General features: G+C 43.7%; 1 protein-coding gene across 11 annotated transcripts in view, besides 1 other annotated feature; it reads right to left on the bottom strand.

Moving 5' to 3' along the window:
* The window catches only part of ADAMTS17 (ADAM metallopeptidase with thrombospondin type 1 motif 17), a 370,539-nt gene that overhangs the window by 47,912 nt on the left and 294,784 nt on the right, over positions 1-27,843 (bottom strand). The gene's annotated exons all lie outside the window — the stretch shown is intronic.
* Positions 956-1,250: a silencer, noted in NCBI's record as "tiled region #8829; K562 Repressive non-DNase unmatched - State 23:Low". NCBI's record gives its function as "represses a minimal TATA promoter and a strong SV40 promoter by Sharpr-MPRA in K562 cells {active_cell/tissue: K562}" and the evidence as "EXISTENCE:reporter gene assay evidence [ECO:0000049][PMID:27701403]".

A 27,843-nucleotide genomic window follows, 5' to 3' on the forward strand; every position in this document is an offset into this window, starting at 1 on the left:
AACATATTATGACTTAACGGATGTGAAATGAATACAGCGATTGTAAAGATTTGTTAAAACTGGGAAGTGGAGACGTGTTTATTAGTTAATCTCGGTACTTTTCTGTACCATGAAAATTTTTATAAGAAAAATACTTACAGAAGCTATAGTCAGGCTGGTATGTACTAACTGACCTTGGCTGCAGTGAGTGGTTGAGACCACGGGCAACTGAACATGTGCTACCCGGTGTATGACCACACCTGCGCTCCAGCCCACTGAGGCCAAATGTTGCCACGCCGTTCATTTTTAAAAGTAAGGCTGAAAATCCAGAGTCTTACTGCAATCTCCTGATTTAAAAATGTTGGAAATGAATCCTAAAACCTTAAGACGCCTGTGTGGGCCAAGCTACGTCTGCTGTGGAATTTGGCCCTGTGGCCTCTAGTCTAGGACTTTACACTTTCCTATCCTGAAGCAGCAGCTGCCGTGGTTCTGAGCCTAAGCTCCAACAGCCAGATGCCCATCTCCCTCCAGCTCACACTTGGAGATGATTCTGCACCACTGGCCTGCACACGGGTCCTTGTCATTGCTTTCTTTGTTTTGATCACCAAATTCCTACTACTCACACATGCTAACTTAACAGGTTAGCCCCAAGCCTCTTGTCCTAAGATTTGGAAAAAAAAGACTCCCAAAGCATAATGACGTGGCATAGTTTTCCCAGGACAGCAGCCGGAATCGTACCCATCAGAAATAAACACCAAAGTCCTGAACCAAGTAGGCTGCAGAAAACACCCAGGGGACGGATTAACACCAGTGGGAGGCCCTGCCCTGCTGGCCCAGCTGCCCGGCCCCACAAAATTATTCAATGTGAAAACACACAAGCAGACCTCCCCAGCATTCCACCCCCGCTGCTGCTCCACTTTGGACATGAAAATATTCAGAATTTGACAAGGATCTCAGAAAATGTCCTGGGGCAAGGTAGGGAGGTGCTCAGCAGTCTGAGTGAGGCAGCTCGCTTGTCCTGTAAGGGCGACACAGGGGAAGCGCTCCCTCAGCAACTGTGTTCGAAGGGGCAGAGGCAGGGCTCCAACAGGACTGAGCTGGCTGCCTGGGGCTCTGGCATGCAGCTTTACGAGCAAGGGAATTCACAGCTCTGCCTGAATCCCCACCCACAACTACCTTTAACTGCAAGCTGCAGGTTCACTCCCTGACTCCCCCAGAGCCATCAGGAGCCAGCCAGGCCCCTGACAACAAGCTGCAAGGTGACCCTCCGTGGGTCTATTTTGAGTTCCTGGTGCCTCTCAACATGCTGCTGCTAAGTTAGAAGCAGTGACCCTGGTAGTTATGGCTTATAAAGTCCATGTTCATGGTGAACTTGAAAAGAGGTTTCCCAGGGGCAACAGACATCCAGGCTAGAGCCATGTGGAGACGGCTGAGGCCCAGGGCGCCCATCCTGACCCAGTGGCTGGCGTTCGGCTGTGTCTATCTCCATGCACTGACTCAAGTGACTAAGGGTGTTTGGAGACCATGACGTGTCATAATCATCTTTAGTACAGATGACAGCTTTGTCACTGGCAGCCTCTCCTCCTCATTTTCTCCTGCTTCCTCCTGGGCTTCTCCAGTGCTGGGAGCTTCGCTGTTCTCCCCTCCACTTCTCTATCTCCTTCCTCCCCCATTTTCTAAGCTAGCTTGGCTCTTTCCTTGGTTCAGTCTGTGGCTTCTTCCCTCTCATGGCTCACTTACAAATAACTGTTTGAGGACCTTATCTATGCCATGTTCCTTCAGATACTAGGGAACAGGGCATAGGGGACCCCTGACTCTCCACCTGGGAGGCTTCAGGCCGATGTGTTCACCAGCCTAGAGGATAGCAGGGAGTCCCACCAGGCCTGTGGTTCTGGGTGGGTGTGCGTGTCACAGACCACTCTGCTAGTCCCCATCACTGAAGCCTAGTGGCCACTTCCTTTCCAAAGACCAGACATGCAGGGTTAGGATCTGGGCGTCATCTTGGACTGCTCTCTGTGCCACGTTCAAGCAACCACTAAGTCCCACCAAGCCAACCACCACGAAGGATCTCAAATCTGCCTTCCCCTCCCCATATCCATGGCCACCCTTCGCTAGGGTGCCATAACAGTCTCCTAACTGCACTGCCTCCCCAAAAACAAACATGTAATCTCTTTTCCCTTCCAAGTAACCTATGCTTCTCTGCCACAGCTCCAGTCTGAAACTTTCGACGGCTCCCTAGTACCTAATGCCTTCCATATCCTGAGCCCAGCATTCCGGTCCCAGCCAGTCTGATGATTTACTCATTCGTTCAGTCCACGCTCCTTCATAGTGCCACCCAAGGACTGCAGCTGTTTTCAGGAATATATGCAGAGAAACAAAAATAAGACTCTGGACTAAGAAAAAGAAGTACCAGGGTAGATGAAGGTAAGGGGAACAAGCCTTGTCGCCCTGGCCCTGGCCAGCCACATGTGCTCCTCCCTCCCAGGCTGTTGGCTGTTCCTTCACTCAGACATGCTGGCACCGGTCCCTCTGCCTGCACGCCCTCCTCATTTCTCGGTTGGCCAATGTCAAGCGCCTGCTCCTCCACAGGTCCTAGATGTTCTCTCTTCCACTGCTGGCTCATCTGAGGCTCTCCAAATGGCCTAAATGATACCGTTCCTGCCAAGACTATCCTGACCTTGCTATGGCTTGGGTGCTCCTAGGAGTCAAGAGGCTCAGATCTAGTTCGGGCTCCCAGGCTAAGTCTTTGTTGACCTTGGCTACTAAACTTCCCCGGGCTCAGTTTTTCCATCTGTGAAATGGGTTGAAACTCATTTGTTTCTCACGTGGATGTGCCAACGATTGATCCTATATGGTCAATCTGTTATCACCCAGTGTCCCCTTCTGGATGGATGCAGGCCCCCAGCAGGCATATCACAGAGCAGTCCAGGAGCTGCGTGCACCACAACCCCATGTGCTGACTTAGCCACAGCCCCCACCTCCTCCTCGGCGGTGGACCCCACTAAGGCAGCGTGTGCTGAGTCCACCCTAAACCTCGGCTCTGGCACACTGGAGAGAAAGTTCGTATTAATGTTGCTGGCCAATAAAACAACCAGCAGTTTCCTATAAAAAGTGACAGTGGGATAAGTCTACATTAAAATATTCATGCCCTTTATTTCACATCACAAAAAGATTCAAACACCCCAACCAAACGCAGTTACAGCAGCTGCCGGGCAGATGTTCTTCAGGCAGGCAAATGAGACACAGTAATTAGTCTCAATTAAGTTACCAGTAAATTATGTAACGGAGACCTTTAGCCACCCAGCCCTGACAGGTTTGCTGAGCCAAAGGCAGTGAACCCGGTCCAAAACTATTTAGAAACTCTGGATTGCTTTGGATAATTCATGTTCTGAGTAAATTACAGAGAGTCTTGGCATGGGAGGAATAATGAATACCGTAACCACTTTCAACTGAAAATAATAATTTGTTAATAATTTTAATAGCTAATGAGCTACAGAAACCACGTCCGTAAGCCTTCCAAGCAGAAAGGAAGGAGATTCATTTTATTTCTGGCTGTATGAAGCTGATGGCATTCACTCATCCATATGCTTTTGAGACTTTTGCTCAGCAAGTATCTTGTCACATGATCTGTTTTCACCGGAGCACTGCTTCTTCTTGAATTTTCAAAAACAGTTTCCTAAAGGTCTGCTCTGCAAAGATGTTTCTGTCTAATCGGGCTTTAAGGATTTCTCAGCAAGAGGCACACAGGAGACTGGCTGGCTGCCATTCTGCCTTCAAGACCCTGAGAAAAGAGACTCTTCCATCAAGTCTTGTTGAACCAAGTTGTGTGATGTTTTCCCTTGTCAACTTTTGTTTTTAGGTGAACAAAATAAAAAAATTTTTTTTTTTTTTGAGACGGAGTTTCACTTTTGTTGCCCAGGATAAAGTGCAGTGGTGTGATCTTGGCTCACTGCAACCTCTGTCTCCTGGGTTCAAGTGATTCTCTTGCTTCAGCCTCCTGAGTCGTTGGGATTACAGGTGCCTGCCACCACGCAGGGCTAATTTTTTTTTTTGTATTTTTAGTAGAGACGGCGTTTCACGTTGGTCAGGCTGGTCTCGAACCTCCTGACCTTAGGTGATCTGCCTGCCTCGGCCTCCCAAAGTGGTGGGATTACAGGGGTGAGCCACTTTGCCTGGCCAAGAAAATTTTATTCACAGAATTGTAGAGAATATCCCACTCCCTGGTGAAATAACTGTATTTGGGGCCACTCAGAGTCCAGATTTCCTCTCTTCATCCACAAAAGCCTGGTCACATCTTGCTGTGGATGGTCCTTGTCCAAGTCCTTGCCTTCTCCCTATCTCTTCTGAAAGTCAGACTCTAGCACAGAGCCTCGTGCTTCTTAAGGACCTCATGAATGTCTTCTAAATTTAATTAAATTCCATGGTTCTCTATGAAGAAAACTGACAAGTGACCTGGAGCTTACAAAAATGATCTTTGCGCTGATCTCCAGGGCATCTTGGGCTATTCTCACTCACTTTAGTTTATCTCTTCTATTGCCGTATTTTCTGCTTAGTAGAACTTATAAATTTAATTCATGCACATTGTAGAAAATCTGGAAAGTACAAAAAATAGCGAGAGAACCAAAGGACACACATGATCCTAGTCTTTCTTCCTAAACATCTTCCTTTGATGTTGATGTCATACCACAAATCTTTGTATACTGTGCATCGCTATTGATAGCGAAGCAATTCCTATGCAATCAAAAATCTTTTCTAAAGGTTGATTTTTTTTTGTTGTTGTTGTTGAGATGGGGTCTTGCTCTGTCACCCAGGCTGGAGGGCAGTGGTACAATTCAGCTCAGTACAGCCTCGAACTCCTGGGCTCAAGCAATTCTCCTGCGTCGGCCTCCCGAATAGCTGGGACTACAAGCACATGTCACTGTAACTGGCTAATTTAAAAAATTTTTTTTGTAGAGATGTTGTCTCATTTTGTTGCCCTGGCTGGTCTCAAACTCCTGGCTTCAAGCAGTCCTCCCACCTTGGCCTCCCAAAGTGCTAAAGATTAACTTTTTAATGCTTGCATATTACTCTGTCATATAGATAGAGCCATACATTACTGAACCAGTGCATACCTGGTCATTTGGGTAGGTGCCCATTTTGTCCATATTTTGGATGATTTCCACAGGGTACAAATGGAAGTCCTGGATCCAAAGTGTTGAGCAACATCATTCAGAGGGCCAGGGAGGAGTGCTTGGATCTCTCCGTGATGGGGATCTCATTACACTATGACCCGGCCATGCCTGACCCACTAGCCTGTTGGGTATGCTTGTTCTCTAGTGACGATGCTTTACATTTGTGAAGGCTTTACATTGTGAAGGGGCAAGGTTTCCAAAAGTCCTCCTATGTATCCCTTGTGTCTTCTTTCTGCCTATGCATGTAGCCCTTCAGCTGTTCCTTAAGAGGCAGCAGTGTCCAGGCTACAGTCCCTCCACCCCACTCCCCTGCTTTGGATGTTCCCTGCCGGTCAATGTTTCCTTAGCACGTGACCTTGACAAATACATGTCTAGTTGCAATGTGACCTGCTTCAAGTAAATAAACAATAAGAACCACACTAACTGGACCCTTCTATATGCCAGATGTTGTGTGCTTTAGTCTTCACTTGATTCCCAATTAGATAAGCGGGGAGCTCCTGTGAAGTAACCTGCTCAGGATCACACAGTCAGGGAGATCGGTCTTGGGTTGAGAGTGGTACGCTAATGTTGTCTCCTATAGCCAATACATTTCTCTCTGTATCTCCTGTAGTTTATACTTTATATAAATGGCTGCTGTGTTATTTGAAGCATAAATATTCATAACTGTTATATTTTCATTATAAATTAAGACTTTTAATGTAAGTTTCCTTGCCACATTTAATGCTTTTTGGCTTGAAGTCTATTTTGTCTAAAGTTAGGATTGCTACCTCTGCTCTCTTACTGTTTTTGCTTCCCTGGAATACCTTTATTTTTAGCCTTTTTGAATCGGTTTCTTTTAGGTGTGTTTTTTTGCATACAGCATATAGTTGGGTCTTTGTGAGCCAATTTGACAATCTTTTTCTCTTCTTTTCTTTTCTTTTTTTTTTTTTTTGAGACAGACTTTCACTCTTTTGCCCAGGCTGGAGTGAAGTGGCGTGATCTCGGCTCACTGCAACCTCCACCCCCAGGGTTCAAGCAATTCTCCTGCCTCAGCCTCCCCAGTAGCTGGGATTATAGGCACTCGCCACCACGCCCAGCTAATTTTTTTGTATTTTTAGTAGAGACAGGGTTTCACCACATTGGCCAGGCTGGTCTCGAACTCCTGACCTCAGGTGATCTGCCAGCCTCGGCCTCCCAAAGTGCTGGGATTACAGGCGTGAGCCACCACGCCTTTTCTTTCAGAAAAAGAAAATTTTTTTCTTTTAACCAGTAAGCTAGGCCAATTCCAATACACTTGATCTCAACTTTGTAGTAGTATTTAATTATAATTACTGTGTATATTTTATTGTGTTTTCTGTGTTTTTTAGATGTTATTTCTTTACTGTTTATTTATTTTTTGGTATCTATAGGTTTTTGTTTTTGTTTTACTCCAACCATTTTTGATAGTTTTATTCAAGTATCACATAAATACATAAAAGTATATAAATTATAAGTATACAGCTTGATGAAATTTTCACAAAGCAAGGCTTGTAACTACAACTCAGATCAAGAAAAGGAACATTACCAGAACCTCAGAAGGCCTCCTCATACTCAGTTATGAGCCTCCCCCAACAATTCTGACTCCTACCATCACAGGTTTGTTTGGCGTGTCCTTCAACTTTATATAAATGAACTCACAGAGCAGGCACTCTTGTCTTTTGTGTCTAGCTTCTTTATTTGTGAGACTGATCCAAGTTTTGTAGAACAATAGTTTATTTTCATCATTGTGTCGTATTTCATTGTATGACTAGACCACAATCCATCCATTGTACTGTGGATGTGCATTTGGGTTGTTTCAGGTTTTGGCCTCTTATGACTAGCACTGTGCTGAACATTCTTGTACATGTCTTGTACAACTTGCTGGCATACACCTATGTGGAAGCTAAAGCAACTGCATCTTAAATGGGAGGCTAAAGCAACTCCATCTTGAATGCTTATCCGCCATGTTGGCTTAACTGACTAACTGTAGTTCCAGGAAGGCCTCCGAGATTTCCAATTTATCTACTGTTGCTTGTGTAAAAGCAGGCACATACCATAAATTGTGCTCTTAGGTCAAACAACCTTATGCTATCACACTTCAGTTGTCCTACAAATTGCATCTGAACCATTCCTTGACCTGGGTCTGGGGGACAATGGCATGGGGATCCACCATCTTGTCTTGCTGCTGCCCGAGGCACAGGCATGGCTTCTGTTTTTAAGTCCCTATTAAATGTTTCTTTCTAAGAAATTGGATTTGTCAGCCTCTTTGGCCTCTCAGCTTCCTCAGACTTTGGGGAATGTCTGCATAGCTCTGCCCACCTTGAAACAATCTAGGAGTAGAATTTCTGGGTCATGAGAATTTGTATGTTTAGACAAATAGATTTCCAAAGTGGTTATGCCAATTTACACTCACACCAGCAATGACAGAGATTGCCAATGGCTCCACGTCCTTGCCAAAACATACTATCATCTGTCTTTTCTATTTCAATCAGTCTAGTGGGTGTGTCAGTGGTATCACATTGTGTTTTAATGTGTACAAGTGGAGAATACAGGTGAAGGCATTATGGGCAGGGAGAACAGGGTGAACAACAGTCGGGAGGTGCAGAAGTACTCATACCTTTGTAAAACGCACTTTGTCTCTCTTTCCTAATCTTTTACTACCTGGTTTATCAGTTTTTAATGATATCTCTTGACTTCCACCCACTCTCTAAACAACGACAAATGTTATTATTTGATTTTCCTGCTTTCTGTTTTTTCTTTCTTTTTATTCTTTTATTCTACTCTTTTTTCTATTGCTTTTAGTTGCATTCTTTTCATTTTGTCAGAGCATATAACATTTACATATTATTTTTCATTCCTGTATCTAACTTTGTGTTAGTCTTAGCTCCACAATTAAACATCCTAAGATGCTCACCATCAGCCCTTTTACCGCTGACCCTAGTCATCTCTTGGTTAGATGAAGGGCATCCTATGATAGTAGTGGGATTGACAAACTATGGCCTGAGGGCCAAATCCTCCCTGATACTTGTCTTGGTGAATACAGTTTTATTAGAATACAGCCCTGTCTATTTGTCTATACATTGTTTGTAGCTGCTTTTGTGCTACAATAGAATTGAGTAGTTAAGACAGAGACTATACAGCTTGTAAAGCCTAAAATATTTAATATCTGTCTTTCACTGGAAAAGTTTGCTGATTCCTGCTCCGGTAAATTCCTCAAGAAGGGCTCATGGATACAGCGTCCTCAGCTCTTGTCTACTTAAAATTGTTTTTCTAAAGCTTTGATACTCGAAGGATAGTTTAGCTAGTTATAAAATCTTGGTCTGATCTGTGAGGACATCATGCAGACCCTGAGAACTGGGAGTCTGAGTCTCATGAGTCAGAAGGAGTGGGCTGGGGAGTAGAATGAGTGCCCCGTTCTGAGACGAGTCCTACCACTTGATAGCCACACATTTCTGTGGAGTCTCCTGACCCCATGGCAGTCCCCACTGGGGAGCCCTACCCAGAGAAGTCACATGACAGGAGGCTGCTGACAAGCTGTACAGGCAGAGCCACAGACAGACCCTCTAGGAACTGTAGTGCCTGGGTGATGAGCCATCAGCTGCCATCTGTGTCCCTGCTTCATCCATAATAATATCATGGGAAGCTTACTAAGTGCTCTGCTGACCTGACCCACCACCCCAATAACACTGTCAGACAGGCGCAGAATGTTCTCATTAAACCCTCGCACATTTGGGGCACTCATGCAGCCTTCTTTTCAAAAATGCATGCAAACCATCTGCCTAAATCATCCCTCATCCTCTAGTTGTGCCAGGGGTTGACAGCACTCTGAAACGGCATTCTTCGGACCCGGCCATTTATCTGTTTGGGAAATTGAGACCCAGCCCTCAGACCACTGGCTCTGCTCTTGTCTGCTGTGATTTCTCAGAACCAGTCAGCAGAGCCTCAGAGATGACAGCTGTAAAGTTCTGTAGCATCTTGGATTGGATTTTGTCCTGGAATGGGGTTTTGGACACTTCTAGAAAATCATAACAGTGATCATAAAAATGACAAATTTAGCTCTTACTGTGTGCCAGGAACTGTCCTGAGCCATTTATTTCTCTTAGCTCGCATCATTCTCATGACAGCCCTCTGAGGTAGGAACTCTCTCAGTCCCCTGTCGTACAGACAGGTTGAGTGGCCTGCTGCAGGTCCCCTGCTGGCAGCAGCGGGGCTGAGATGGGAACCTGGCTGCTGGAGTCCTCACTCTACTGCTTCTGCTTCTCAGGGTTCCCTCCTTAGTTTTCTTGAGCTGCCATGCTCTTTGCCTGCTTTCTTCTACCTTTGCCTTCTACCTTTACCCTCCTTCTCCTTTTTGAAAAGCAGCAGTGAACCTGCACTTTGCCTTTTGTCACTTTTAGCCTTAACAGGCATCTCCTTCTCAGTTTTCCTTATTTCAAGGGCTAACTTAAAACAACCACAAAAAGTTATCTTTGTCAAACCTTTCTTAGCAAGGCTGTTTGCGGACATCTCGCTGTCTGGCCCGAGCTGCCTGCTAAGGCTCCAAACTGTTTCCTCCCTCCCATTGCTGCATGCCTCAGTGCACTTGGGTCTTTCCATCTGGTTCACCCTGAGCCACCAGGGTGAACCCCTAGTCCTGAGTATGTCTCCCATCTTATGTCTTGTTGGGTCAGTTGTGATTATGGAGTCAGAATGGAATCTTCCCAGATTTCCGCTTGGTGCTGAGCTGTATTGACTTTCTGTAGCTGTGGGAACAAAACTACCTCTACTCTGACCTTTACTTATTCTATTAATATCTTCTCAAAACATAGGGATCTAAATTTAACCCTGCTCGGTTTCCTTTCCTGACTGTGGCAAACTGCAAAACAAAATGGCCGTTGCTTCCCAGGTTGTCACAAACCTTCCTGCTTTGTAAGAAATAAAGTCAGGGTGATGAGTCCTTTCATTCATCCATTTATGCCAGAGAGAGGAGAAATGGGGAGTGCTTTGTCTGTCAATTAGGGCATCCGGCTGCCTCATTTCCATCCCCAGCTCCAGTCACCAGAGCTGCTGCCATGCAACGCCTGGAGCCTCCTGCAAAGTCCTGCCTTCAGTCTCCACTTGGTTAGGTCTCTGCTTTGTGGCTCTCTCCCCTCAGTGGCCTGGGCTCTGGGCCCTGAAGTCTTCAGGAGATGAGGTAACCGACTACCTTTCCCTCCTAGATAAGCCCCATACTCTATCTCTACTGAAGGATTTTTGCATCTGCTGTTAGATTCAAGTCATGGGACCCAATTCACCAAATCTGGTGATTTCCACCATGCTTTCTGAGTTAAAATGTCAAGGGACCTTCGTTACTATATGCTGGTGGTTCTCAATGCAGTCCCTGGACCAGCATCATGAGTGCTATCAGAGCCCTAGCTAGAAATGTAAGTTTCCAGGTCTCACTCTGGATGTACTGAATCAGAAGCTCTGGGAGTGGGGCCCAGCACTCTGTCAGTTACCCAGTCTCCTGGGGATTTCAGCACAGTAGAGCCACTAGACATATTGGGAAAATAATCACCCGAGGCCTGAGCCTTGCTTCGGATCAGCTCTCTGAGAGGTGCTGGCCCCCAGATCACCCTTTGTCCTCCCTGACAACTCACTGGGCAGGTGCAGCTGAAATGTTTTTCCCTCCCTGTTCTCATGATTCAGGGTAAAGCTCTCTCCCCCTGGCCAGGGAACATCCTCTTCCCAGGAAGCGGATTAAGAGTCGTGGAAGGAAAACACGACTGAGCCATGTGCACGGTGTGGGCCAGGGCACGTTCATTACCTCCTCAGTGCTAATTTCTGCCCTTAATGTCGTAAGGAATTCCTTTTGGAAATTATGTACTTCAATTTCATCAGGCTCCTTCCTTCAGTGGTATTTAAACCCAAATACAGGTTAGCAGACAGAAGTGCTGGCAGGAACCAGCCTTTCACATCCACCCACAAATGCAACCTCCTCACGCTCCCCCTACCAGGGCTCCAGTGGTCTGTAATGAGCCACCTGGGCATGGCACATCTGTGAAATCTCTAGTCACGCGCTGAGCCTGAAATCCAATCTTCGGGTTTGAATGATGCTGAGACCCTCCCATGATCCTTTTTCCTTCCCTAGTCTTACCCCCATCCTGCTGATGATACTATCTAAAGTTCACAAGTAGAGAGCTCAGAAGCATTCAAGAGGTTAGAAATGAACCACTCAAGACTTTTCTGCTGTTGCAATTTACTCTGAAATACGTATAAATTATATGATCTTGTTCTGACAAGAAGGGGAATGTTAGTATACTCTGGGACCTGCCCGCAATCTTTTACTATCTGGAAAATACCAGCATGGGTTTAGATTATGTAGTTATAACTGTATTAAAAATGTGTGTGTGCACGCTCACATGTGTATGTGTGAGGAGTGTCTTACGAAATAATGGATAACCCACAAAATGTTGGGGTCCAACAGCTGGCTGATGTTCATCATCGATATAGTTTTGTAGTTGAGCAGTGATGATAGTTTTGGCTGGCGTTCACGGAGTGCTGACTCGGGGTGAAGGAATTTATAGGCATTACTTCACTTCATCTCCTCAAGACTTCTATGACAGATGTTCTCATTTCCCATGTTTACAGATGGCAAGATCATGTAACTTGCCCGTGGGTTTGCATGCAGCTAGGGGTGAGGTGGGGACCTGAGGTCAGTCTCTCAATGCCCACCATGTGAAGCTGCCCCTGGGTGAAATGGATGGAGCATTTCATTCTTTTTCTGGCTAGCTACCGAACCTAACAAATTGCATGTCTTCCTGCCTCTACATGATAAGTAGATGATGATCTTGCTATTGCTTCCAACTTTAAACAAATCCATTTCAATAAAGGCTGCTGTAAAGCATGAGCAGGTAAAGGAAAGATTTAAAATATGTCTGCAGAAACTGCTGCTGAGAGTGGAATGAGTAGGACTAGAGGAAGAAGTCAAGGTGGGCTATGGGTAGGACACAGCATGGGTAAAGTCGACCACAGGCTCTACCTAGAGAGGGTGAATGATTTAACTAGAAGACAATCCAACATACACCAGGGTCCTAAACCAGCCTCTGATTTCCACCCCTTCATCAACGGAGCATCTGTCCAGACCAGACATCTGTCCCCTAATGGGTAAATGCTCATGCCACCGGAATGAAATCTCATTTTCGACATAATGCCGCTAACCATAGAGATGAGCAATTCTGGGATGACTGAGGCACATTCCCTCCACCAGTATCAAACAATCCATTTATCTGTTCAAATGACTTACTAAGACCTACTAAGCTCTAGGCGCTGCTGGGCACTGGAGACTAAGCTGCACACCCAGTGATTTCCATATTTGTAGAGTACTCACCGTGTGGCAGCTTGGTTCTACAAATAAGTTCCTGACAAATATTTGCTGAGTGAATTGAGCACTGATAAGGTCCTTGCCCTTACGGGGAAGAGGAACAAGAAAAAGAAAGGGAAGACTAAAGAAACAGAGTCACACAGACCATACAGGAATGACGGAGGTGTCCTGTCTATACGCGGCACTTGGTACAGGTAGATGCATTACTTACCCATAGAGGACAGCATGGAGGTTTCAGAAGCTGTGGGTTTGATTCCTGAACGGGTATCAAAGGTTTAGTTCCTTATCCAGAAAATCTCAGGCCTGGGACACAGACGCACCTCTCCTCCATTGCCTGCCAACTTGCATCACTGGTTACTTGGGGTCTGACTGAGAGTCCCTCCCAGCCCCTCCAAGCTCAAGGTCAGCTAGGCATGGGTAGAAAGTGTGCTTGTCTCAGAGGTCCAGGAAGGCACCCGTCAGCACCTCTCACTGCCTCAACCCCAAATCTCCCCAGGTCTCCTGGGAAACCACCTTCATATTGAACCCCTTATGTTAGATATGTCCTGAATTTTCATTTCTTTTCTAGTATGGGTGCAGATAACACTAACAACAAGCCAGAAAACCAACTAACTACAGCATTCTGAAAAATTGCTCTAGTGTTTAATCCCAGAGCTTTGGGCCTTTGGGCTGCGAGTTTCACTTCCAGGGAAAGGAACCACTCCAGCTTCCCCTTGATAGCACTCGGAGTTAAATGCCACTACAGTACTGTCTGATGACTCTCTTGCCCCGCTTTTGGATATCAATTTAGAGCTGCCTTGGTCAAAAGGGTTCTTTTTAATGCCATGGCAGAAGCAGGCTGTACTGTTTTTAAAATGAGAACGAGAAAGCAGAAAGTATGTAAGATTTAAAGGAGGAAAACATTGTTTTGCATTCTGTTACCAGAATGAGCTGGGAAAGCTACTTAATGACTAAGCGTCTCGAAGTCTTCATCTGTAAAATGAGGTGAATACGTCGACTTTCCAGAGGGACTGTGGGGCTACCTAACCCACGAGACAGCCAGCAGCCACTTCCTCCTTTCTCTCCTTACTGCTGATGAGCAACAGTGAACTGGCCCATTCCCAAAGAGCTTTGCCTTTCTGCTGCTTCTGTACTTTACGTCTTAGCAAGAATACAATTTCTGAGTTTTAAAATTCTCTACTTTTACAATAATCATTTTCAAGTATTGTTTTGAGAGAAAAAAAATGGTTCTCTGGAATTTATGGGTCCAAACTAAGCTCTCAACGGGAAGCAGAAGGCCCAGTGAACAGGGTTGAACCAGCAGCTGATGAGTCCACTGCACCCATTTTTATTTTTTTCCCAAGCCATCACACCTGATCAAATTACACTCTGGGGACTGAAGATTCTGTTGGTACAATCTTGAGGTTAAAATAACCAGGATAAGTCTGGATTTGGTAACAGGTTGTACCACACCCAGTCATGAAGGGTTTGGAAAAAAAACTCTCATGCTTTGAGAATCACACAGCTGCTGATGTTGAAAGTTCCCATCCAAGAGTAACATTCCAGTTGGGCTGGCTTTTCCCAGTACACAGGGATTTTCCAGTACAGTAGCCCTCTTGCTAACAGACTTGCCTGCTCTCATTCTAGCTGAGAGCAGAATGGGTTGGACAGTCTTCATTTCTCAGTCTTGGTTAGATCATGACCTTAGCCTGTCTATAGGACTTAATAGTTTCTGCCTGTCTCACGTCATCTTCCTTCTTCTGGTGAGAGGTGAGAACACCTCGGTTTTCTTTACCATGCTCCCGTTTGTTGGCCAACAGGAGAGCACATGAGCTGAGAAAGACTGATAAGACTTTGCAGGAACCTGGGTTCTGAGCAGAGTGACCTTTGGAGTGGATACAGGAGCTGCTCCAGCCAATTCGGGGATCTTCTCTCCCAGACCAACTTTTCGGTGTCTCTTCAATTTTGGGAGCTACTCCACATTCTTTCTATATTCTCTTATCTTTTTGGGGCAAGTTCAGATCTGGTTTCTGTGGCCCAGCAAGGCCCAATTGTGCTCTAGAAGCCAGTGGTGCCACGATCACCTCCTTCCATTTCCACACCACAGCCATGGCTTCAGAGCAGATTGGGAGACTGGTGGGGACAGCAGTTTGATTGGCAGTGATGCCATCAGCTTATTGGATGGTCTCCTTACCTTCCACTATACACTAGCTCTATCCAATGGAAGAAAGAGGTTGGCTGTGTTTACTTTTCTAGTGAAGGTATAGGGTCCTCCAAGCCCTTGTGAGCCCACAGTGCCTTGACCTTGCTGCTGAGAGCACCTCTTTCTGCAGAAGCTCCAGGAAAGGTAGACTCCAGGATTACAATTCTCCTGGGAAGAAGCACAAGGCTGGGATTCTCAAAGTGGTTCACAGCACACAGTGGCACACCAACAGTGCGTCTGCTGGCAAGAGACCATGGAGGATTCAGACCTGTGGGGCTGTCTGAGCCAGCACTTCCCTACCTGACATGCCCACGGAATCCCCTTTCCCTCTAATCTTGGCACAGGCCGTGCTGTGGGAGGCAGTGCTGTGACCGTGGTCACTGTGTACACAGTGCAGAGGCCTGGCCGGCCAACAAGGAGGCTGCAGAGCATGCAGTCTGCAGCCTGGGAAGCACCTGCCACTACCAGGCTGGATGCCTGGCCTCACCTGAAGAGCACAGTGAGCCCCTGCAGAAAGGGGATGCCACTGCTGGGCTTGGGAAGAAGGACCCCGCGTGTACACCATTGTTTCTATCAGAACTGGTGTTTGTGACCTTGGCCGACAAGCAGTCCCAGACAGTCCACTTGCAAACTCTTTCCTTTGACATTTAAGCCACTAAGTCCCTCTCGGAAAATGTCCCAAACAGAACTGGAGAAAGGGCCACTGGTGGCTTCAGATATCTCCATCCTGCTCCCTCGTGTGCCCGACACCTACTTGTTCTCCTTATTCCTCCAGCATTAAAACCTCTCTTGGAAAAGGACCTGATAAACTCATTCCCACATAAGAAAAAGTTAAAACAGGTTCAGCCTCTTCCTTCCCAGTGCAATGCCCTTAGCTTACTGATAAATGTTTCATTCTATTCTTTCCTTAATAATCCCCTTAGCATAAACATGCAGGCACACAGAGCTGGAAGGCCACCTTCCTTGGAAAAGGAGAACCTGCCTGTCTCCCAGCAAATGCCCCATCACCCCGGGGACCTAAGATTAATGTCATACTCCATGGGGAAAACTCAAGCACTTGGAACATTTGTAAAAAGGCAACCCTCAGGTACTCAGGGTGCTCAGCTTTCAAAAGAGCAATACCTTTGAACAGAGGCCAGGCATGCAGTTCCCCAGCAATGCTCTAGATGGTTAGAAATGACCCAGGTTTCACCATATTAGCTCTGACAGGCAGTCCTGAATGTTTATGAATCCAGCCTATGTGAGGTCTTTCTAGAAGGTCTCAAATGGTTTCTTAGAAAGGAACAGATGTAAAACGTGATCATAAGGGATGTGCTCAGTTATTTTTAAAACATTAATTTTAATTCTGGAGTATTTCCAGAGTACATATATTATCGAGGAAAGACTTACCCTGTCTGTGTGTGAAGGGATCCTGGCCACGACTTTGGTTACGTTCTTATTTTCACTGTCTCACCAGTGTGTAATGTTTGCTCATTCTTATCCTTATGTTTCTGTTTTGGGGTTTGAGGCAGAGGTGCAGGGGATGAGGAGAAAAGGAGGATGGCACTTTTTTCAGGGTAGGATTTCACTGACTGGGGTGAGCAAATCTAAGCATTGATCCTCAGGTGTGCCGAGTCTCGGGGCTAGCTTGGGGCCACCAGGAGGACAGGCGGGTCTGCGTGGTTCCAGAGGGACCCCCAGAGACTGGCCTCCCTGTACAGTTTACAACACCCTTTTTCATCTTGTCCAGTACTAAGGTAGGTGGGCTCAGGCCGATATTAAGCAATGTCAAATCCTGCAAGAACCTGGGAGTAAGTAGTATAAATATGAAAAAGAAATAACCTAGAAAATGAAGAGACGACTCACCAAGTTATTGCTGAAATAACATGCAGAGAATACTGTTATTCTCTGCATGTTATGAGTGTACAAGCTACTGCTCAGAGACATAGGGGGTCCCGTCCAGGCTCCCTTGCAAGTGAGAAGCACAGAGAACATGGGGAAAGAAAATCCTTGACTCTCAGTTCCAAACCCAACCAGCCTATGGGAGGGTGTCTCCAATGTGATGCTCGGGATGGCTTTTCTATGAGGCTGCAAAGATGATGGCTGGCCCAGGGAGAAGCAGTAGGGCTTCTTTGTCAGAGTCTTTGGGAATGGCAGCCATGGTGGGTGCATGACTTGCAGGAAAGCCCCTCCAGGGGAAAGGCAAGGAGGGTGCAGAGAGGCAGCAAGGGGAAGGTGCACTGTGAAAGGGCCTGCCGAAGGGCAACGGACCACACTGGGCAAATTCTCTGTCTTAGGACAGAGGCGCTGGGAGAAGCCGGCACTGCGTAATGGGAAAGGACAGAGGAAGGGGTGAGAGAAGCAGCCCAGCATGATAAAGGCAGCCACTAAACAAGGTCCACTGATTCCTGCTTGAGAAGTGACAATTAGGACCTTTCTAGCACAGGCTCCTGACTGTCCCCACTGCCCCAAGTCCCGAGATATCGTGAGCTCTGGGCTGGTGTGTCAGCCTCTGCACTCACGGGAGCCTGCGGGAGGCCTCTCCTTAGCTCGAGAGCCTGCAACCGTAAGTGCGCACTTTTTTGTGAGTTCATTTTTTAATAGCTTTGAGACATAACTCATATACCACAATGCAACCATCTGAAGCGCACAATTCAATGGTTTTCACTACAATCTAGGATCTTTTTATTACAACAAAAGAAATCCTGTAACCCTTTAGTTATCAACCCTCACTTCCATCCCTCTCCCTCCTCATTAGCACTAGGCACCCACCCATCTACCTTCCATCTCTACCGATTTTGTCTCATCTAGACATTGCATCTCGATGGAATTTCACATGTGACCTTTTGTGTCTGGCTTTTTCCACCTAGCATGTTTTCAGGGTTTCTCTGTGCCAGAACTTCATTCCTTTTTATGGCTGAATAATATTGCGCTGCCTGAATCTACTGCATTTTGTCTATTCTTCAGTGAATGAACATGTGCCATGTTTCTACCTGTTAGCCATTATAATACTATGAACATTTGTGTACAAGCTCTTGTGTGGACATGTTTTCATCATTCTTGGGTATATACATAGTACTGGAATTGCTGATTTGAATAATAACTCAAGCAGAACTTTTTGAGGAACTACCAGATTTTTTTTAAAAAGCGGTTGTGTCATTTAGTATTCCCATCCCAGAGTATGAAAGTCCTGACTTCTCGACATCCTCATCAACATTTGTTATCATCTGTCTTTTCGATCACAGCCACACTAGTGAGTGTGATCATATGGTTTGATTGGCATTTCCCTGCTAAGGATGCTGAATATACCTTCTTTAGAGGAATGTCTGTTCAGATCTTTTGTTCAGTTTTCAATTAGGTTCTGTGTCATCTTATTATTGAGCTGTAGTAGCTCTTTAGGTATTCCTTTTTTTTTTTTTTTCTTCTTTTTGAGACAGAGTCTCACTCTGTAGCCCAAGCTGGAGTGCAGTGGCGCAATTTCGGCTCACTGCAACCTTCGCCTCTGGGGCTCAAGCCATTCTCATGCCTGTCCCCTGAGTAGCTGAGACTACAGACATGCACCACCACACCCAAGTAATTTTTTGTATTTTAGTAGAGATGGGGTTTCACCATGTTGCCCAGGTTGGTCTTGAACTCCTGAGCTCAGGAGATCCGTCTGCCTCGGCCTCCCAAAGTGCTGGGATTACAGGCATAAGCCACCATGCTTGGCCTAGATGTTCTTCATATAAGTTCCTTATCAGATATATAATTTGAAAATATTTTTCCCATTCTTTGATTGTCCTTTATCTTTTTTTGAGACAAGGTCTCACTCTGTCACCCAGGCTGGAGTGCAGTGGTGCAATCTCAATCTAGATTCACTGCAGCCTCGACCTCCCATTTCAGCCTGCCCCCCACCACCCAAGTAGCTGGGACTACAGACACACACTACCATACCAGGCTAATTTTGTATTTTTTTTTTGTAGAGAAAGGGTTTCACCATGTTGCCCAGGCTGGTCTTGAACTCCTGGACTCAAGCAATCCTCTAAAGTGCTGGGAGTACAGGTGTGAGCCAATGCGCCCCACCTCCAACTGCATTCTCTTGCATGTGGATAGCTAGTTGTCACAGCACCATTTGTTTGAAAAGACTATTCTTTCTCCACTGATTGCTGTTGGCACCCTGGTGGAAAAGCAGTTGACAGTAACTGTGAAGATTTATTTCTGGACTGTCAGTTATACGCCATTGTTCTTTATGTCTATCCTTATGCCAGGGCCACACTGTCTGGATCACTATAGTTTACAGTAAGCTTTGAAATTGGGAAGCATGAGGACTCCAACTTTGTTATTCTTTTCTAAGATTGTTTTGATGATTTGAGGCCCTTTGCAATTCCATATGAATTTTAGCGACATGTCCCCATTTGTGGAAGAAAGATGGCTTAAATTTTGATAGAGATTGCACTAAATCTATAGATCAATTTGTAGAGTATTGTTATCTTAACAAGTCTTCTCATTCATGAAAATGAATGTCTATTTGAGATATTTTTGTAGTTTTCAGAATATGTTTTAAAATTCTTTTATTAAATTTATTCCAAAGTATTTTATTCTTTTTGATGTTATTATAGGTGGATTTTTTTCTTAATTTCACTTAATTGATACTATACAGAAATACAATTGATTTTTCCTTATTGATCTTACATCTGTAAACATCCAGACCTTGTTTATTAGTTCTAATAGTTTTTAGAGATTCCTTAGTATTATCTGTATACAAGATCATGTCATTTGTAAATACAGACAGTTTTACTTCTTCTATTCAAACATGGATGCATTTTATTTCATTTACTTGGGTAAATGCCTAGGCTGGAATCTTTAATAAAATGTTGGATAGAAATAGTAAGAGCAGATACTGTGTCTTGCTCCTGATCTTTGGAGAAAAGCATTCCGTCTTTCACTTTAAGTATGGTGTTGGCTGTGGGTTCTTGGCAGATGCTCTTTATTCGGTTTCAGTAGCCTGCTTATGTGTAGGACTTTGTCCACTTTCTGTAAGTTATCTAACTTAGGGCATACGGCTGTTCATAGTGTTCATTCCCAATCCTTTTTATTTCTGTAAGGTCAGTAGTCACATTCCTGCTTTCGTTCTTTAATTTAGTAATTTACGTCTTCTTTTATTCTTGGCCAATCTAGCTAAAGACTTGTCCATGTTGTTGATTTCTTCCTATAGTTAACTTTTGGTTTATTATTCTGCTGTACTATTTTCTACCCTTTATTTCATTTATTTCTGCATGAATGTTACTATTTCTTTCATTCTGCTTGCTTTAGGTTCTGTTGCTCCTCTTTCCAGTATCATTACATGGAAGGTTAGTTTACTGATTTGAAATCTTTCTTCTTTTTCAGTATAAGTGTTTACAGCCATAAATTTCCCCTTAAGGCCTGCTTTAGCCACATTCCCTAAGTTCTGTTATATTGTGCCTTCACCTCGATTCATCTCAAAATATGATTTAGTTTCCCTTGTGATTTCTATTTGACCCACTGGTTGTTTAGGAAGGGTACTGTTTAATTTCCATGTACTTATGAGTTTCTTAAACTTCTTTCTCTTACTGATTTCTAATGTCATTCCACGGTGGCCAGAAAACATACCTAGTATTATTTCTATTGTTTTGTGCTTGTTAGATTTATTTACTGGCCTAGTGTATGATCTATTCTGAATAGTGTTCCATGTGCAAATTCTGCTGTTGTTAGGTGGAGTGTTTTATAGATATCTATTGGGTTTGGTTGGTTTATACTGTTAAGTCTTCTATTTCCTTGTTGATACACCTTGTTTTTAAAATCCACTACTGAAAGTGAGGTATTGAAGTCTCCAGTTATTACTGTTAGGTATTTATTCCTTCATTTCTGTCAGTTTTGCTCCATGTATTTTAGGGTCTCATATGTTTATAATTGTTGTATCTTCCTGATGGATTGCCCTTTTATCATCATAAAATGTCTGTATTCTAGTAGTTTTTTTAAAAAAATCTTTTTGTCTGGTATTAGTATAGCACTCCTGCTTTCTGTCTGCATGATATAACTTTTTCCATCTTTTTACTTTCAATGTATTTGTATATAAGTATACACTCAGAAGGAGAAAAGAATCATTCTTATCTGTGGACTGTTCATTGCTGTAAGAGTCAGCCAGCAGAGGAGTCCGCCAAGAATGACCTTCATTAGACCCCAAGGGGAAAGGGCCGTTTTGAGACGCAGCCACCAACATATCCAAGCTCATTTCTGAAACCCTCAGCAATTCCACAAGCTAGGAACCCTTCCACTGTTGCCCTTACTGCACAGCCATTTCTTCTGTGGGCTGATGTTTCTTCCAGAACCTGGAGAATACACAGCTTCCCTTCATTTCTGAGAGATCGCTTTGTAATCTTTTTTGGGGCAGCGGCTGTTGTTGTTCTTTCAGTATTCCTCAGACTAAATCTCACCTTTTCCCTTTACTTGTCCTTTCTTGTAACTGTGACATAAAAAGTCAAATGGAAACATCAAGTGCTTGATGGTTTTCATATTTTATTACTCAGAAAAATCAGGAAGAGAGAAGGATCTCTTTTGATGGGTTGCAGAGCCTACATGCAAAGCATTTCCCAACAGGAGAAATCCTGTCACCTGTGAACCTGGTACCAGGGCATTCTCTCATCCTCTGTAATGATCAAACGAAGGGATGGTCAAATGACCAAAAAAAAAAAAAAACCTCTGAAAATGCTTTCTTGTCCTCCATCTTGAATGTTTCTTAATTTAGATAAATAAGGTAAGGCTTTAAAACTTAACATTTAATTTAAAGACAGGTGACATCCTGAAATTTGTGTCAGAAAAAGTTCCAGCATCTTGGCAATCTAAATTTCTCCTCCCCACTCACATACCATCAACAAGGCATGTAATACACCACAGGTATTAGTCACAATTAGATTTACCTATTTTATTTTAGAAAAAGACAGGAAAGAAAATGTTTATGTTTCAGACTAGCAAGAAATTGATTAAAAAACCATATCTTTTCAGATTGTGGCAATAGCTAAAGATCCACGTATTCCAGGCTTCATTCTTAAGTCATGGTCTCTCTCTCTGTCTCTCATACATGCACGCGTGCACACACACAAAATATGCTTTAATAAAAAGGGATTCCATTCCATTTTAACCCCAAATAAGGCCAGCCTGATTAAGATAATTGAGGAAGGAGAACACATTTAAAAACCAAATACGCTTCCTTGCAAATGACTATTCAATTCAATTGCCAGTAAGATGTTGAATGTTCTTTTCTGAATCACTCTAATTCAATGTACAGTACAGCATGTACTGCCTGGGAAGAAGTTCAAATCATAAATACCATAGGGAAATATCTAATAACTTGGAATGGCCTTTTTCAAGTGGCTAATAAGCTCTTAAAGACTGCAAAAATGTTAAATCTGGTAAAGCACAAGGTCTGTGCTCCGGGACGTGTCCACTTCATTGGCAGCCCCTGCCTCCTTGCTCCAGGACCACCTGAGGCTGGGTCTCAAGGGTCTCGTCACACAGTACTGCTCTTTGGATGCTGAATGATGGGGAGGCCTCTTCCCTGCAGACTGTGGTTAGCAAGGTGAAGGCTGCTGGCCATGGCCATAACAGCTGGGCTGATCTGTGATTTCTGCCATGCCTGCCAATGTCAGGGTCAGGTTTGTCAATGTTTTTGTGTTGGTGTGTGAGATGCTGGGGAGACGCCATCTGCCATGCGTGTCAGACTCCAGATTCCATATGGTTACAGCAGGGTTTGGGAGAAGTATCCACAGAGCTAGGATTAGAATAAAGTGGTGCTAATGGTGTGCAGTTGGGAAGGCAAAGGAAACTGTCAGGAACTCAATGGAAAAAGGGTTGAAGAAAATTAAAGGGAGATCAGGAGAAATAAAGGAAAGTATAAAGGAAAAAGACAAACATCTCTGCCACTTTAAAGGTCAAAGAGTAACAATAACATAGAAAGGCTCTTTCACCTTGCCAGGTTCAACAGTGGGTTGCATTCTGGCTTCTTTAATAAAGTTCACACCATGGGATTCTTGGGCGCTTCTTCCAGGTTCCAGGCTCTGTCCTCCACTCATGCCACCCCATCTGAAACAGCCATTTGTAATCCAGACCCTCCACATCTCCACCTTACCCTGTTGCCCAGGTGCAGTTTTTACTTGTGTGTCCAATCTCCCCGATTTTCTGGCACTCATTTCCTAAGGTCAGGTTTTCTACTTTTCTTCACTTACTAGCATGAATCCATGTAACCATAGGTTCTTATGAAAGACTCATGACAACTAGATCGTGCCATGCAATAATTCAAATTTTGTTGTCCAAATATTTGTGTGTGTATAATAGCTGTACAGAAGTCCTCCCTTATCTGTGGCAGATATGTTCTAAGACCCCCAGTGGATGCTTGAAAATAAGGCTAGTACTGAACCCTGTATATACTATGCACAGATTTCTTTCTTCTTTTTCTTCACAATTTCATGGGTAGAAGATTCATTTACTGTAGATCTGAGCAACCTCAGCATACATTTGTTTTTCTTTCCTTATTAAGTTGAAGACGTTTACCTTTTCACTTACAGGATGCATTTTATAGCTTCTTTTTAGTACATCTGAGTTGCCATCATCACCACTCTTGTGCTTTGAGACCAATATTAAGTAAAACGCAAGAACTACGACACCCTACAGTTGATCTAACTGAGATGGCTACTGAGTGACAACCAGCAGGGAGCAGAGACACTGTGGATCCCCTGGACAAGGGGATGATTCACGTCCTGGGCAGGACAGAGCGGGATGGTGTGAGATTTCATGACACTACTCAGAACAGCAAGCAACTTAAAACTGATGAACTGTTTCAGAAATTTTCCTTTTAATATTTTTGGGCAATGGTTGACCACGGGTAACTGAAACCACAGAAAGTGAAACTGCAAATAAGTGGGAACTACTGTACATAATACATATATATATGTATATGGTGCATGTAGATACATTTACATGTGTGTATGTATATATGTATGTGTATGTATGTACGCACGGATCTATCTTGTTAGGAATTGCAAGAGCTTCAAAATCTATTATCAGATCATACATTTCTTTAGCCAAACAATAAATCCTCTTTGATGAGTCATGGCACTCGCATATCCAGTTTAAGAAAAAGTACAAGGTCAGATGGTTCAGAATAAACAAATCAACAAATGAGCAAACAAAACCAGCCTGGGGCAGGGAGCCAGGCACTTGCTGTCTACAGTCTCTAAGGCAGATCTTAGGTGCTATTTTCTCCTGTTTTTCAATTTCATTTTCTTCTCTGCTCTAAGTAATTCCACTCATTCTTTAAGTCTGATTCACATGATTTTACAGTCAGGAAGGGAGTGTAAGGAAGTGGGAAAGAGAAGTGGTGGGGAGGCAGAAATCGAATATTTATCAAGTTACACAATAAAAAGAAATTCAGAATTCTAACACGTCCTCCTTTGTATAATAAGAAAATACATTCCCTGAGCTAATACCTGCAGAGCTCTGGCTCATGCTGAGAGCGTGGTGCCAATATCTCAGTGGGCAAAACGGGAGTAAGCAATAATCCAAAACACAGGCCAGCAAACTCTTACGTGTGGGCTATGTCTGGCCTGCGGGGTTATTTTTGGACAACCCAAGGGCGAATAACAAATTTTACATGTTTTAAAGGATTATGACTCAAAATACAGAAAAAAATATGCCAGAGACCACATGTGGCCTGCGAAGGCAAAAATATTTATTCTCTAGACCTATACAGATGAAGTTTGCTGACCCCTGTTCTACGGAGATACTAAGAACTTGCTTCTGAAATTGCTTTTAGTCTGAAGTGTATTTGGCTTGAACTTGGCTCAAACGTGGCAACACGGCAGGACTGTGGTCCATCAAGCCAGAATGACTCTGAACTTTCTGTAGCAATACACACACTTGATGTTATCTATCGTAGGCTTAGCACAGCTCTGTGGCACTCATTAATAGAGTCTGCACTCATGTTTGTTTATGTCACTTTGTTTTGTAGGTGTTTTCCTACATGATCTTCTGGTTTCAGTTTTGCAGTGCAGCATGGTTCTCTCTTAGAAGATACATGGGAGGCAAAATCACGAACTTGATATACTTGCCCACTTGTTGCAATGATCAGAGGGCTCTGTTATGGCACTTTGAATTAATCTGGAATCTAGTTGAAACATGAAGATGTGATCTGATTACCTCTCATCTGTCTTTCACAAACCTGGGAAATTTTTGATCACTGTTTCTTAAATGATTATTTTCTGCTCCATTTTCTCTCTCCTCTCCTTCTGTGACTCCAATTACCCTTATGCTAGAATGCTTGATACTATCCCACAGGTAACTGAGTCTTGCTCATTGTCAACAATTTTTTCCTTCCCATTTTCTAGACTGAATAATGTCTAATCCTCTATCTTCAAGTTCAGTAATCTTTCATCATCTTACTCTGTTGTTAGACCCATGGAGTGAATTTTTAAAATTTCAGATATTGTATTTATTTTTTAGTCCTAAAACTGTGTTTTTGTAGAGTATATCTTTGTTGCTTCTAAGATCTCCTATATGTTCCATGACCATGAGCATAGCTTTTCTTACGTTTCTGAGCATAGTTACAATAGCTGCTTTAACATTCTTTTCTTCTAATTCCAACATACATGTCATCTTCCAGTCAGTCTCCATTAATGGCCTTCTCTTTTGAGTATGGATCTGTTTCCCTATATGACTAGTAATTTTGGATTGTACCTGGAACACTGTGAATGATACACTAATCAACAGCAGCACTGCTCAACAGAAAGAAGATGAGAACTGGATATATAATTTGGATTTTTTTTTTTTTTTTTTGAGACGGAGTCTGGCTTAATCACCCAGGCTGGAGTACAGTGGCGTGATCTCAGCTCACTGCAACCTCTGTATCCCAGGTTCAAGCAATTCTTCTGCCTCAGCCTCCTGAGTAGTTGGGACTACAGGTGCACGCCACCATGCCTGGCTAATTTTTGTATTTTTAGTAGAGATGGGGTTTCATCATGTTGGCCAGGCTGGTCTTGAAATCTTGACCTCAGTGATCTGCCTGCCTTGGCCTCCCAAAGTGGTGGGATTACAGGTATGAGCCACCATGCCCAGCCTGTTAATTTGGATTTTTTTAGAAGCCACATTAAAATAACCTCAAATTTAATTTTAGTAATATATTTTGTTTGTCCTAATGCATCCCAAATATAATCATTTGGGACGATTATAATCAAAGTAATCACGTTAAAAATTAAGATATTTTATAATCTTAAATATTTTATAAAATAATTGAGACTTATAATCTCTTTTCATACTAAATCTTTGAAACCTCATGTATATTTTATATTTATAGCAGATTTCAATTTGGAGTGGCTAGTGACCACCATATTGAACTATGCAGCTCTAGAGTTTCATTTTAGAAGAATATTGAATTTTTGTTTTAGTAGGCAGCTAATTTGGCTGGAATAAAACTCCAGGCACTGTCTCTCTTGTGGTGGGCAGCAGCTACAGTCTCAGTTCAGGTCTTCTAGCTTTAGCTGTGCTATGTGGAGTCTGGCCGGCCTGTCTTATTCTTAGATTTGGCCCTAGTCTCTAAGAATTCCCAGAGATTCTTGAGATATATGCAGAATTTGGGAGTCACTCTCTGTGGCTCCCTCCTTTCTGGAGTTTTTCCTTCTCAGTTTCCAGCTGCTATGGGTTTCCCTGAATATTCTCCTCTGATGGCTTAACCAGTAAAAGATGGCGGGTAACTATCAGAGTTTTAGCTAGTCTCAATGCAACTAGGGCCTTCCTTTGGTTGAAGAGCTGTCAACATGGGTAATTCAATTCCATGCCATTCTATTCCTCCATTTCTCTATTTCTCTTCAGTTTCTAACTGCTTTCTAGATTTAATTAATTAATTAATTTTTGAGATGGAGTCTCACTCTGTCACCAAGGCTGGAGTGCAGTGGTGTGATCTCAGCTCACTGCAACCTCCACCTCCCAGGTTCAAGCAATTCTCCTGCCTCAGCCTCCTGAGTAGCTGAGACTACAGGCATCTGCCACCACACCCAGCTAATTTTTGTATTTTTAGTACAGACAGGGTTTCACTATGTTGGCCAGGCTGATCTCGTACTCCTGACCTTAAGTGATCTGCCCGCCTTTGCCTCCCAAAGTGCTGGGATTACAGGTGTGTGCCCCCTCACCTAGGCTGCTTTCTAGCTTTTAAACAATTGCTTTTTATACTGTCTCCAGAGTTCTTAATTGTTATCTGTAGGAGGGCTGGTCCAATATAAGCTACTCTATCGTTACAGGAAGCAGAATCCTTTATTTTAAAATCTTATCCCTGGAGTTCCACAGAGAAGCCAGGGCGTACTGTGAGAGGTGGAAAAGGCGGAGTAGACTGGCCCACTCTGCCACATCGTGTGTGTGTCTCAATTCAGTGGTAGCAGTTCTCATTTCATCTGTTTCATTTTACTGGTTTCTGTGCATAATTTTAAAAAGACTTGGGTATAAAATAGCTTGAAAACAGAACTAATTTTAAAACATGTTGTGGGAAGTCAGGAACCCCGAACGGAGGGACCGGCTGAAGCCATGGCAGAAGAACGTGGATTGTGAAGATTTCATGGACATTTATTAGTTCCCCAAATAAATACTTTTATAATTTCTTATGCCTGTCTTTACTGTAATCTCTAAACATAAATTGTGAAGATTTCATGGACACTTATCACTTCCCCAATCAATACCCTTGTGATTTCCTATGCCTGTCTTTACTTTAATCTCTTAATCCTGTCAATTTGTAAGCTGAGGAGGCTGTATATCGCCTCAGGACCCTGTGATGATTGCGTTAACTGCACAAATTGTTTGTAGAGCATGTGTGTTTGAACAATATGAAATCTGGGCACCTTGAAAAAAGAACAGGATAACAGCAACATTCAGGGAACAAGAGAGATAACCTTAAACTCTGACTGCCGGTGAGCCAGGCAGAACAGAGCCATATTTCTTTTCTTTCTAAAGCAAACGGGAGGAAATATCACTGAATTCTTTTTCTCAGCAAGGAACATCCCTGAGAAAGAGAATGAGCCCCTGAGGGTAGGCCTCTAAAATGGCCCCCCTGGGTGTGGCCGTCTTCTATGGTTGAGACAGTAGGCATGAAATGAGCCCCAGTCTCCCATAGCGCTCCCAGGCTTATTAGGATGAGGAAATTCCCGCCTAATAAATTT

This window comes from Homo sapiens, chromosome 15 (assembly GCF_000001405.40).
Source record: "Homo sapiens chromosome 15, GRCh38.p14 Primary Assembly".
Classification (NCBI taxonomy): Eukaryota; Metazoa; Chordata; class Mammalia; order Primates; family Hominidae; genus Homo; species Homo sapiens.